Source organism: Homo sapiens, chromosome 8 (assembly GCF_000001405.40).
Source record: "Homo sapiens chromosome 8, GRCh38.p14 Primary Assembly".
Lineage (NCBI taxonomy): Eukaryota > Metazoa > Chordata > Mammalia > Primates > Hominidae > Homo > Homo sapiens.
This window is the reverse complement of record NC_000008.11, coordinates 128,218,390-128,232,642: the sequence shown is the minus strand read 5'-3', so window position 1 is coordinate 128,232,642 and position 14,253 is coordinate 128,218,390. Positions and strand designations below refer to the sequence as shown.

Here is a 14,253-nt window from a genome sequence, read left to right as displayed (position 1 = left end):
ACCCGTTGCACAGCTGTTTTAGAATCTGTAGAATCTAGTTCAAGAAGACCCATAATTTAATGCAAATAATGGGTAAAACTGAAAGAAAAAAAATAGGATCATAGCTTCTTCCTCCCCGATACCTACTAAAATAAACACAGAATGGAGCCCGGTGCAGTGGCTCATGCCTGTAATCCCAGCAGTTTGGGAGGCCAAGGTGGGTGGATCACCTGAGGTCAGGAGTTTGAAAATAGTCTGGCCAACATGATGAACCCCATCTCTACTAAAAATACAAAAAGTAGCCAGGCGTGGTGGTGTGCGTCTGTAATCTCAGCATACTTGGGAGGCTGAGACATGAGAATTGCTTGAATCCATGAGATGGAGGTTATGGTGAGCCGAGATTACACCACTGCACTGCAGCCTGGATGACAGAGCAAGACTCCATCTAAAAATAAATAAATAAATAAATAAATACACACAAATTAGAAAAGAACAACAAGCCAAAAATTCACCAGGAACTGTTTAATAGGAAAAGACACTACAACTTTATCCAACAAACTTCAAAAACAGCAAATAAGAAAAGAAACAAGATTCTGGTCCACCAGAAACTAAAGCCATGCTCAATTTCTCAAAGATACAGTTAGGAAAAGAACTTGTAGGAACAGGGAACACGCACAAATAGACAGCGAAGGAAAAGGCCAAGAATGAATATTTGAGGCAAGAAGTCCCACATAACATTTGTCTATTCATCCATCCATTCATTCAGCAAATAATTGAGTGCCTACTCTATGTCAAGCACCATTCCAGGCACTTGAAGATAACAAGGAACAAAGCAGAGAAAAGCTGCTGTCCTATATTTTCATGGTGGTTGAGGGAAGAAGTAAATGATTTAAAAAAATGAAAGACAGTAAAAGATAAAATGCTTCTGATGATGTTAAGTGCCTTGAAGAAAAATAACAGAGATGGGCCGGGTGCGGTGGCTCACTCCTGTAATCCCAACACTTTGGGAGGCCAAGATGGGCAGATCATGAGGTCAGGAGTTCGAGACCAGCCTGGCTAACATGGTGAAACCCCATCTCTACTAAAAATATAAAATGTTAGCCAGGAATGGTGGCAGGTGCCTGTAATCCCAGCTACTCAGGAGGCTGAGGCAGGAGAATCGCTTGAACTCGGGAGGCAGAAGTTGCAGTGAGCCAAGACCAAGCCACTGCACTCCAGCCTGGGCAACAGAGAGAGACTCCATCTCAAAAAAAAAAAAAGAAAGAAAAATAACAGAGATGGGGGATGGAGGGTGCCACGTCATCTGCTATATACAACAGTATATATGAAAGTATATTTAATAGTATAAATGAGCAAAGACCTCATTGATATCCTGACATCTAAGCTTAGACCTGACAGATTTGAGGAAGGAAGCCATGTGGTTATCTGGGGGAAGAGTATTCTAGGCAGGGGAACTACACTGCAAAAGACCTGTGGACAGTGTGGGCCTGGCAGATTTGAGGCTCAACAAGAAAGCTAGCGTGACTGGGGCCAAGCGAGCCAAGGGATAGGAGAGTGTTGCCAGTGGCCATCACACAGAAGCCTAGGAAGCATTGAAGGGCTTTGGCTTGAGGAGGATTTTGAGCAGGAGAGTGTCGTGATATAACGAACATTTTTAGAAAATACAGCACTAGTGAAGCACGTTAGACTTTAGCAGAAAGAACAAGGGCCATCAGAGCCCAGCCTGTTGCAGTGCGCTGTGCTGAGATGGTGAATGAAGGGGAGATACAGCTGGTGGTGGGCCCTGATACAGCACACTTTGTGGACTCAGATGAAACCAGTGTGGAGTCAACCAGCAACTAGAACTGAGCTGTCAGCCCACACTCTGTATCCTCAGAGTCTGGAAGAATGTTCAGAAAGAAACAGCCAGCCCATAAATTTAACTAGAAATGACAAGACAAGACCACCTTATTAAAGATAAGGCAACAAAAGAACAATCATGTGTCCCCCACCTTGAATCAGGGCAAAGAGATGACGTGGGCAGAGCTCACCTAAGCCTGAGAAAAAAAGGGGGGAAATGGCATTTCAACTATGCAAACATTCTAGAGCACAGAAGAGAAAGGAAACACAATCTGCAAAAGAACAATAAAAAACTCAGTATGGAATCATTTATACAAGACTGAAAAACAAGACGATGAAGCAATATGCTGTGATGAAGAGGAAGATTACCGAGTTAAGGAAACAAGGAAGGGCCAAAGCAACATCTTCACAGATTAAATAAATAAATGTAAACCAGCAAAGAACTGACTGGGCTCGACTGAAAATTCAAACAATAGCATAAAAAAAGGCTTTAGGAATCACAGTGAATACAAAGGTAAAAGATAAAGCAAATAAATCGATCTGAAATGGTGATAAATAAAGACTTCGAAGTTGGCCCACATAAAGTTCACTTGTATTTCTCAAGTACAGCACCCAACAAAAGGAAGAGTATTCAGACGTGTAACTTCATGTCTGAAGTTTTTTCTGATGTTAGAAAACTATTATACTAAATCTGCAAATCATAAGAAAATGAATAAATTGGAAGAAAAACAACGTAATTTAAATAGAGATACTCAATGTATCCTGATCAATATTAACCATAGAGAATGCTTTCATCCAGGAAAAAAAAACAAGGGAGTGGAGAAATCAAGCTGATCTCTGACTTCTTCACATGAATGTTTTTCCAAAAGAAATCAGAGTAAAATCTACATAGTCAAATAAAGGAAAGTGTAACCCAAGAATATTAAAAGTGAACATATTCTCAAGCATGAAAGAATCCAGGGAATATATGGGCCATGTTGTAAAATATACTGGAAGATTAAATACAATCACAAGATAAATTTATTTACTTTTTTTAAACAAGCACATCTCTAGAGTGAAGAAGTTATGTTTAAGAGAACTAGTGTTTAGGACTAAATCCATTAAATAGTGTAGACAACACAACAGCAAAAATGTTGTTTGCAGAACAGAATGTGTTATCAATCATTTAAACTGAAAACTATAAAAGAAACAAAAATCAGGGGGCGAAAGAAAATGGGAGGAGATATTAAGAGTGGGAATCACTTGATTTTTCATAGTAGGAAGAAAATTCATGCCACATGAAAAACTGAAATATGTATGTTAAAAGTAAATAACATGGCACTAACTTACCTCGTTTCAGCATGTTTTTTACCTAAGCTTAGAAGAATATTTGAGGAAATAGTATCACTGGCAATGAAAGAAACATGATCTAAATTTCAGCAATTCCTTGAGTTTAACTTCAGTTTTTCTCTGGTTGCATTCGACTGAAGTTAAGTAAATGCTTTATTTCACTAAATATGGCCAGTATGATATTTAATTAACTAGCTGTTTACCTAAATAGCTTCCAATTCTTGCATTTTTTTGACACACACTGATATCTGGAATGATATCCACCAAAATTTAAGGCTGGCTATTTACTTCTTCGCTGGTGGAATTTTGGGGTGATTTGTTGCTTTCTTTGTACTTTCAAAAATATTTTAAAATTAGTTTATTATGAGCATGTATCATCTAATAAAAATAAAGTTTTATGTTTATTTTATTTTATATATATTTTTTGAGACAGAATCTTGCCCTGTCGCCCAGGCTGGAGTACAGTGGCACCATCTTAGCTCACTGTAGCCTCCGCCTCTGGGGTTCAAGTGATTCTCCTGCCTCAGCCTCCGGAGTAGCTGGGATTACAGGCGTGCACCACTATGCCCTGCTAATTTTTATATTATTAGTAGAGATGGGGTGTCATCATGTTGGCCAGGCTGGTCTTGAACTCCTGACCTCAGGTGATCTGCCCGCCTCGGCCTCCTAAAGTGTTGGGATTACAGGCATGAGGCACCGCGCCCAGCCAAAATAACATGTTTATAAACTACAATGAGATACCACTTCACATGCATTTCTGTCTTCCTGAATTTGACTACTCTGTGAATTTGAGGTGCTCTAGGTGCCTCATATAAGCGGAATCATATAGTACTGTATGTGTCTTTTGGTGACTGGCTTATTTCACTCAGCATAATGATCTCAAGGTTTATCCATGTTGTACCATATGTCAGAAGTGTACTGATGACTGTATTTTTTGAAAAAACAAAATGACTGCTATTTTTCAAAAAAAAGAAAGAAAAACAAGTATTGGAAAGGATGTGCAGAAAATGGAACCCCTGTGCACCGATGAGGGGAATGTAAAATGGTATAGCCATTGTGAAAAACAGTATGGCAGTTAGTCCCTCAGAAAATTTAACAATAGTATTACGCCATGATCCAGTATCTCCACTTCTGGGCATCTATCTCAAAGAATTGAAGGCAAGGTCTCACGGAGATATGTGTACACCCATGTTCATGGCAGCATTATTTACGACAGGTAAAAGAGGGTAGCACCTTAGTGTTTATCAATGTACATAGACGTATAAACAGTAAGTGGCATATACAATATACATACAATGAAATATGATTTAGCCTTAGAAAGCAAAACAGTTCAGATATATAGTACAACATGGATAAACCTTGAGGTCATTATGCTGAGTGAAATAAGCCAGTCATGAAAAGACACATACAGTACTATATTATTCTGCTTATATGAGGCACCTAAAGAACTTCAAATTTATAGAGTAGTGAAATTCGGGAAGACAAAAAGCAGAATGATGGTTTCCAGGGGTGGGAGAAGGGGAGAAGGAGGAGTTATTGTTTAACAGATGCAATTTCAGTTTTGCAAGATGAAAGAGGTTCTGGAGATGGATGGTGTCACAGTTTCACAATGGAAATATGCTTAATAACAGGGAACTGTACACTTAAAAATGGTTAAGATGGTTTTATGGTTAATGGTTTTATGTTATGTGTATTATACCATGATAAAAACGTTTTATTAAAAAAGTAAATAAATAAATAATAAATAATTTTAAATATGTACAATATTAGTGTAATAATAAATCACTACTAGATGGTGCCCTAAAACTGAAATTATTATTCACTAGTAATTGATTTATTGAAGGCCTTATATAAAGGTGCCATTTATTTTAAACATCACAACTTCATGAGCGTGTTCTCATTTTAAAGACGAGAAAGCTAAGGCTCAGATATGTTAATTGACAAATACAGCGTTTACACACTTCCAAGTTCTGAGAGAGAGTGGAAATTCATGTTTTTAATTCCAAGTCTATTCATCCATTCATCAGTTTTGTACTGAGGCCCCACTCTGTCCCACACATTATGTTTGCTCCACCATGATATAATTTCTAGACTTCTTCCTGATGACTAATTTTGACTAAGAATTTCCTCTTTAGTTGGTTAAAGAAAAGTATATGGCAATATTTCATACTGATTTAGAGACTCTAATTCATAAACTATCCCAAAATGGTGCATCTATTTAGTATTCCTTTCATCTTCTCTTTGAAGATGAAACAGTCACTGATTTTACATATACTCTGCATATTTATTTCATTTAAAAATACAGTATAATGAAATTGGAACCATGATGTTTGTTTATAACTGGTTCAACTGTACATGTAGACTGTGCACTTTCTATATGCAGTTCTATTTTACAATTTTAAAGTTTTTTTTTTTTAAAAAAGACTTAAACACAAGCATAACATCAGTTTGCTTCACTCAATAAATTCAATTTTGATGTGTGATAGATAGTAAAACATAGATGACCCAAATATTTATATAAATGTGTCTAGGATTATATATTATTTACCTATTGCTATTTGTCAAATTACCCCCAATATTAGTGGCTTACACAACAAATATATACTCCCTCACAGACTCTGGGTCCGGAATCCGGCCTTCACTTAGCGGAGCCCCTCAGGCTCACCCTCTTTCACCTTTCGCAGAGCTGAACTCCATGGGTTGACTGGGGTGGTCACCATAAAGCTCTACTGGGGAGAATCACCGACGTGGGTCTTGGCAGGTCTCAGGTATTTCCTGGCAGTTGATCAGAGACATCTGTTCCTTGCCACATAGATTTCTGATCACAATAAAAGTTTGCTTCTTCCACAGTGGGGTATCTCAGAGAAAGAGAAACCCAAGATGGAAGAAGAGTCTTTGTATAACCTAATGTCAGATGTTACTTCCAATCACTTCTGCCTTATTCTGCTCATTAGAAGTGAGTCACTAAATCCAGCCCACACTCAAAGGGAGAGGATTACACAAAAGTGTATAGGGCAGGAAGTGGGGGTCATTGAGAGCCATCATAGAAGCTGGTTGCCAAGAATACAAAAGCCACGTACCAAAATGTTAGCAATGATTGCCTCTAAATACTGGATCAGAATTACACTTGGTTTTTATATTTTTGTTGCTTCTCTGTTTTTCTAAATTGTTCACGGTGCAGATGCAGAAGTGGTCTGTATTTAAATTCTGCTTCTGTCACTCATCATCTGGATAACACATAAGACAAAGCTGTCAGTCTTACCAAGCCTTTGCTTCCCCAGTGCCAACCTCTTATAGTTATAAATATCAACATGATCTGTATGTAAAAGACTTACACAGTAGCACATTACAAGAGCTTATTATCCCAGCACGATGGCTCACACCTGTAATCCCAGTACTTTGGGAGGCAAAGATGGGAGGATCACTTGAGGTCAGGAGTTTGAGACTGGCCTGGGGTACTTAGTGAGAACTTGTCTCTACAAAAAGTTTTTAAAAAAATTAGCCAGGGACTGTGATGCACTCCTACAGTCCCAGCTACTCAGGAGGCTGAGGCAGGGGGATCGCTTGAGTCCAGGAGTTGGAGATTACAGTAAGGTGTGATTGTGCCACTGCCCTCCAGCCTGAGTGAAAAAGTGGGACCCTGTCTCTAAAATTAGTGCTTATTACTGGTCAATATGTAATTTTTAATATATTGAAAATTAGATGGTATGGTTTTATCCCCACTTATATTTTCAGTAGCAGGGAAAAGATATAAACACATAAAACACAGGAAAAATAAGAGCAAATAGTATAACAGCAAGTGCTAAAGTATGTAGGTGAGACAATAAATGAAGATATTAGAAATAAAGAGAAAATAGAAGATGAGGAAATTGTGGTAAAGGATACACTTCAGAGGAGGCAGGGCAGACTTTGAACAGGTTAGATGGCAGGATTAGAGGGTTTGAAATTCTAATGAGCTTCTTGTTTACTGAGGGCCTCATCCATGCCAGAGTATAAGAGTATAGTGCTGAACAAGGCAGAATATCTGCCTTCAAGAAACTCATAGCCTAAGAGACAAAGATATAAATGAAAAGAATCTTTCAAAATATTTGGTGACTTCAGAGCTAGAGATTAGCATTTGATCGATAGCTACTTATTAAGCACTTACTATGTGCAGACATTATAGTGGACACTCAAAACCACGACCCTCAAAGAGCTCATAATATAGTGCAGAAGATGGATAATTAAACAGGCTATTTTATGCTAATTTATTTGGCAATGTAATAAATGCTAAAGTGAGAAGAGAGATGAGATGGAAGAGCAGAGGAGGACAGAGGACTGCACAAGGAAGGCTTTCTGAGGCAGGTTATATCTAATTAAGCTGAGATTATGTTAGCCAAGCCAAGAGTTAGGGGAAGGAAGTTTTAGCTAAAGGAATACCCCAAGCACAGGGTTCTGTGATGCACAGAGAAGATGGCATAACTGAGACACCACGGGCAAGAGGATTTAGACAGGTGAATCAAGGCCAGAATCTAGAGTGTTCAAAACTACAAACAGGAAGCAGAGTGCATATTCAGAATCTACAGCAAGCAATGACACGGTGAATGCCCTGTTTAAGGACGGCCACACAGAGAACGTGTGGATAAGTGGTGAGCTCAGCACCTGGAGGGGAGGTGACCGTGACATCAGAGGTTGAGTTCACCTGGGGTCATCCTCCCAGGGTGATTTCCTAAAATGCCAATGGCATCTGGGCTGGAAATTCACTGCAGCTCATTCTAAGCTCTGCAGAATCATGTGACGCTTGCAGAAACAATTAGTCTCATGCATGATAGACAGAGTGTCTCAGAGAATGACAGAGAAGAAAAAGCTCTCAAAACAAATCAAAATACACCAAGACTCAAATGGGATCCTCACAGACAGTTTCTTCAATAAGATGGTGCCAGCAAAGGCAGAGGCTGACACAGGTTGGGAGAAGTTTTTAGTTGCCACCTTAGTGGGAAAACCATCTGATTTTACTCCTCCAGAGCACTGTGACTTTGGCCAAATTCCTTAATCCTTTTGACCCAAGTTTCACATCTCTAAAATAAGGATAATTAACCTCTATTTTACAGGACTGTTGCAGGGATAAAAGGAGATTATCACTATGCAGACACAAACCACTACTTCACTGTAAGCTAATTTTACTATTATTATGAGACAAAAAGTAGAGTGTCATTGTTAATGCTTGAATTCTGGAGTTCAAGCTTGGGTTCAAATCCCAGTTCTTTCAATTGCTAGCTGTATAATCTTAGACACGTTGCTTAACTCCCTGAGTCTCTTATTCTTTATCTACAAAATGGAGGAAATAATGGTAACTACTTCATAGGAGTTTTATGAGACATAAATTCTTAATTTATGTAAAATGTTAAAACAGTGCAGGCATACAGTAAACTCTCAATAAACATCAGCCATTAATATTTTATTAACAGTAGTGGTTGTAATAATAGCACCAGTACTAACAGTAGTAGTAGCATTTCTGGGCTCTACTGATCCTGATTTTTATACAATGTATACGTGAGTGGAAAATCACATATTGATGCAATTCAGATTGTTTAGCATCTCAAAATATTTTCATACATTTTGTGCTCTTCAAACCCAATTGCAGGCAGGGTTGCAGCATTATTCTGAGATTAAATATAAGGACAAACTTGGAGAAGTCACAAGAATTTCTTATGATCGCACAACCAGAAAAGGCTGTGCAAAGAGTTGAACCCAACTTTCCTGATGCTAAATTCCGTGTCCTTTCTCATACGTTCTCTCTCTGTGGTGGGTAGGGCGTGCTTTAATAATTTTGAGACGTCTCACCAGGAATTTTCTTTAGATTGAGCTAAAATCAGACTGTATGGGATCAGTGAGTGTTACTGTTCTTCTAAAAAGTGTTTGTCTTTTCCAGTCTTGTCTCAGCCTTTTCCTCCAAGAAGAAATTTTCAATTAACTATTAGCTTATGTTGCAAACATTTGTTCTTAAATGCACTCATTCATTCTTGTGGGTGATTAAGGATGATGGGTATATAAATATACAAGTACATAAATGACAAGTCAAACCATGTACATATGGTAATTTAATTTTGAGAGGAGTACCATGTTTATGCATTTCTATCAGCCTGCCTACTTTTGATGAATGTGTAATTTTTTTACCCACCATTTTATCATTGCCAATATTTAAGTAAATATCCTAAGTGTAGCACTAGATAAAAGCATCTATGCCATCCAGATAATTTGCAGCTGGGAAACATGAGCAATTTTTTTTTCTAGATTCTAAGTACATTGATGTTCCGTACTTCACTAACACTGTATGTTTCACAGGTGTCAGTGCTTTGGAATGTACCACTGTGTGAAGTAACATTGATCCTAGATAGCAGCATAAGTTTTAAGATAAAATTTAGTCATTTGACTAAATATGGCCAAGAATATTTTGGAAACTATCACAGATTATAGAATTTTATAGTTACAGAAATATAGAGAAGAGATACCGAATCCAACTAAGTAAGATTAATCATAGATAAAAGAAGAGAAAGGGCATTCTAGAAAGGAAGAATTGGGTAGAAAAGTAGGATGATTTCATTCAGGAATCTACAGGAAGATTGGTGTTGCTGAAAACAAAAATGGCAGAGATGAGACCGAGGTGGGCCAAGGGGAGGTACAGGGTCTTGGATGCCATGCTGAGGGATGTGAACTTTATCTTGAGGTCATGGAAAGGTATTAAGCACAGTGTGGCATAGCCAGGTTTGGTCTGGGACAAGGGAGTTGGAGGGTGGTGCCTCATTTCCACAGCAGGCTGGAACTCCCAGCGTTCTCTGCTCTTTTTTCACTATTGAGGATTGTTCGAAGCGTTCCAAGCACGACCCTCCTCTTCTACAGCAAGAGGGCATGGAGAGTGATTGAAGGACATCCAGAACACTGTGGCTTGTAAGCGTCCGAAGTTAAAATCATCTCTGACAATCAGCAAAGTCAAAATGTCATTAGGTTTCACAGGGCTCAGTGCTGAGGGATGGGAGCCCTTCAGATATAATGTGAAACCAGAATTGAGACTCTAGGTGGCCAGGTACTCTCTTAGAAGGTTTTTGCACCCCTCTGAGTGTTGGATAGAGCTGAACTTTTGTACAGCTGTGGGTTTTGCAAACCTGAGCTTATGAGTTCCTTTCCTAAAACTGTCTGCTTGCCACACCACACAATGCAACTTTGCCCCTCTATGAAACTTGCGGGGGTCACAGGGTTTGAAGTAAAACTGAAAGTTCCAAAAGAACCACAAGAGACTTCTGCTGTCATGTCCTCCCCAAACTTCTCCTGCCAAAGTATGCCCTCTTCTTTTACTGCATGTGTACTTCCCAGATGTAGGGCTGACTCAGAGTCCAGATGTTATAGTAAAAGAACACTCGGCTCAGAATACAGGCATTTGGTTTGTATTCTTGTTCTGTAGCTTTCTGACCATCTGACCTGTAAATCCATTTAATGCAACTTTCCCATCTGCAAAACAGAAGGTTAACTAGATGATGTCTAAGGGAGTTTTGAGTTCTCTAACATTCTGTGACTGCAAGAACTTCCTGTCCTTGATGCTGAAAAGGCATAAAAGGAAACAAGCCACAATCCCACAATTATAATATAGCTATGATATTGATAATAAGCAGATACCCAAACAATGTAGTAGGAAAGTGCCTAGTGACATGGAAAATTCTTCAGCTCTATTACCAATGAGAAAAGAATCTACAAACAAGTACACTATGATCTCATTTTTTGTACAGTAAATATATACATAGAAAACACAATCAAAAAAAGAGTCTCATGGTCCTCTCGGGCCATAAGATTTTCTTTTTTGTGTTTATATTTATTTTCTCTCTGTCTCTCTTTTCAAAGAAGGTACACTATTTTCCCAGTAATCAAGTACATTTTATTTGTAATATGACAAGGGTCATTATTCTCTGAAGTGTTGTGGATCTCATGGATCTATTGATTATTTTTTATCTCAGGGATCTATTGATTATTTTTAAGGACAAACAATGAAAATTTTGCAAATGATGTGACATTGAATCTGAAACACAATAGCTAAATGAGGGTAAGTTTTTTCTTAGCAACCTCTTCATCCACTAATTTTCCCATCCTTTTCTCCTGAATACTTCTTACGGTTTCTTATGAGTAGCACTGACTTTTCCTACCAAAGCATGTGCACCACTTGAAGGCAAAAAGCAGTTCTCCTGGTTCCCCTGTATTCTCTCTAAAAATAACAAGCATTTAGTCCTGAGAACATACAGAATAAATAAACTTGCACTTATGATGTTGGTTTTTCTGAAGGCAGTGATGTTGTTTAACACCTAACTCTGTGGATAGTTGTGCAAAAATCCTCCGTCCCTGGTTTCTCAGTGGTGTGTGACCCAGTCTCCCAAAGCCAAGTCCATGAGTTCATTTCCTACATCCCTCAGTTTTATTGTTTCCCTTGTGGCTTGAAGCAAAATCCCAACAAAGTGTGCAGTCATTGCACTGGGGAAACTAAGTAGAGACAGACGGATAAACTAGAAAAGCACAAGAGAGTTCAATTGTGATTGAATGGTTCTATACAGAAGCAAGGACTCACTGGGGTAGGACAGAGAGATGGAAGAAGCAGAGGGAGGAGAAAGGAAGGGAAAACCTCTACTTCTTGGACTTAGGCCAAAATAAGGTGAAATTAATCTTAGGAAAGCCAGTGGTGGAATAGTTGTCAGCTACGTTGCATTTCTTAAATACCATATATCTAATGGGTCTTGAGAGCTTGTCTGGATGTTCTAGCAGGAGAGCTCAGCTAATCATATACCCTTGACCGAAGACCAGTCCTTCTCTGTCAGGGAATGGTCGTCCTCTTCGACCTAGTGTGCAGCTTTGGGAGGAATGCACTTGGAGCTGTGAGCAAGGAAGGGACACCAGCTTAGCCAGCCAGATTAGCCGAATCAATGCTGGCGATCAATGGGGTGACAGATGTCGCAGTCAGATCGCCCTCACATCCAATACCATGTATCTACATGTCAACAACTCCCAGATGTTACATCTTCTGCCCAGCCCGATCTCCCAAGTCCCAGACTAGTATTTCAACTCACTACTTGATAGGTCCACTTGGATACTTCATGAACTTCTCAAACGTAACATGCCCTAAACTGAACCCCTGATGGTCCTCTCTTAAAACTGTGTAACCAGCAGCTCCCCCATCTCAGAGGACAGGAATCTCATCCATCCTGTGCTCAGGCCAAACCAGGAATAGGAGTCATCTGTGCTGTCATTCTTTCTCTCATATCCCACATTCAATTTGTCAGGAAGCACTGATGGCTCTATTTTCAGAAAAATATCAGAATCCAACTGCTCCTCACCAACCACACCACTGCTCTTCTGGCTCAAGGCACCACCATCTTTTGCCTGTATTACTGCAAAAACCACCTGATGTTCTCCTTTCTTCCTTAACACCCTAGAGTCTATTCTAAGCACAGCATCCAGAGTGAATCTCTTAAAACATACATTATTTTATGCCACTCACCTGCTCAAAATATCACCCTGAGTTCCCTTTTCACTCAGAGTAAAAGACAAAGGAGGGTTTTTTTGTTCATTTTTTTGTTTTGTTTTTGTTGTTGTTGTTTGTAGACGATGGCCTACAAGACCCCCTGTGATCCAGCTTCCAGCTCCCATTACTTCTGTTACCTTATCTCACTCATTCAGTTCTTGTCACACACTTCTTCTTGCCCCTCCTCTAGGCAATTATCCACTCATATTCATGGTGGCTTATATATACTTTATCTAACTGTTAAATAATATGAATAGCTAATATTTTGAATCCCATGTGCATAGCGCTTTGCAGCTTACAAATTACTTCTGTATATAATATTTCACTTAATCTTCACAATAATATTGTGAACTAAGTATTACTTGTCACATTTTATAGGTAATAAATCTAAGCTCAGAGAGGCTGAACAACTTGTCCAGATCATATAGTCAGTAATTGGTGCACTTGCATTCAAATATAGGTCTGTTAGACCCTAAAAGGGAAAGGGAGGGGATTAATATTCATTGATTTGTACTGGGGTAAGGTCCTTTACTTGACAATCTCATTTAGTTTCCCTTAGTCTATCATTTTCTCACCTTCCATTATGTCCTACTCCATTACACAAAGTGTCCATAGTAGATGCTTACAAAATGTTGATAAGCATCATCATCATGATTATAAATTCTATCTTTTGAGTCAGATTCTCAGTTATCATAGATCATGTTCTTTTTGCTTCTTCATTCATGAACTAAAGAAAGAGACTTATGACCAACAAGGTGGGAGAATTAAATTCAGTGTGAGATAATTGTCTATGTCTCTTTTTCTTCTTTCTAAAAATCACTGTCCATTTGTCCTCACTGTCTGCTCTATGGCCATTCCTAAGGGAACACTTGGTTCCTTGAGTTCCTTTCTAACTTTATTCCCACATAGCAATACAGTTATTTAATTTGCCAACTGTATGTTTCCAAGTGCCCCCAGCGTTGTCTTTTGTAAATGTCATGTGGTCTAACTCATCATCATTCCCTAAATTGTTCATCTATATTCTCAGGTATAATTATTTTTCTCCTTTCTCAGAACACGTACAGAGCTTGGTCAGTTATTTAGCCAATAAATATTTCTTTAGCCTTTAATATAGACGAATCACTGATTTAGGAATTGGGAATTGACAAAGAGATAGGACACTTTATCCTTGTGGTACAACAAAGGATAAAGATAAGAACCAAGACAATTTTAGTCTCTTCCTAGGACGTAAGTGTCTGAGCTGGAAAGTACCTAAGACATCAATTATCCTCTATGTTATAGATATCTAAACTAAGTCTCAGATTTTTTAGGGCAGTTTCCAGTTTTTTGTACCAATTATTTTTATCCCAACAGATTTGAAATGTTAAAGACTGTGTACTCACTAAAAAGAAGAAAATACTATTTTTAAGCAACTTCATTCTTTCCTAGTTTGTTTGTTTTTTTTTTTAATTGAAGCTGTCAATTGGGGCTTCTAATTAGCATGAGGTAGAGTTGCTACATTAAATTGATTTCATTCCATCAAAATTAGAAAAACTTCCAGCCTGGCCAACATGGCGAAACCCCTTCTC

At 38.6% G+C, this 14,253-nt stretch overlaps 1 pseudogene, besides 1 other annotated feature; it reads right to left on the bottom strand.

The window, feature by feature from the left end:
* Positions 10,251–10,320: a silencer, noted in NCBI's record as "silent region_19537". NCBI's record gives its function as "represses an Ori minimal core promoter by ATAC-STARR-seq in GM12878 lymphoblastoid cells {active_cell/tissue: GM12878}" and the evidence as "EXISTENCE:reporter gene assay evidence [ECO:0000049][PMID:35858748]".
* On the bottom strand, positions 11,891–12,139 carry RN7SKP226 (RN7SK pseudogene 226; annotated as a pseudogene).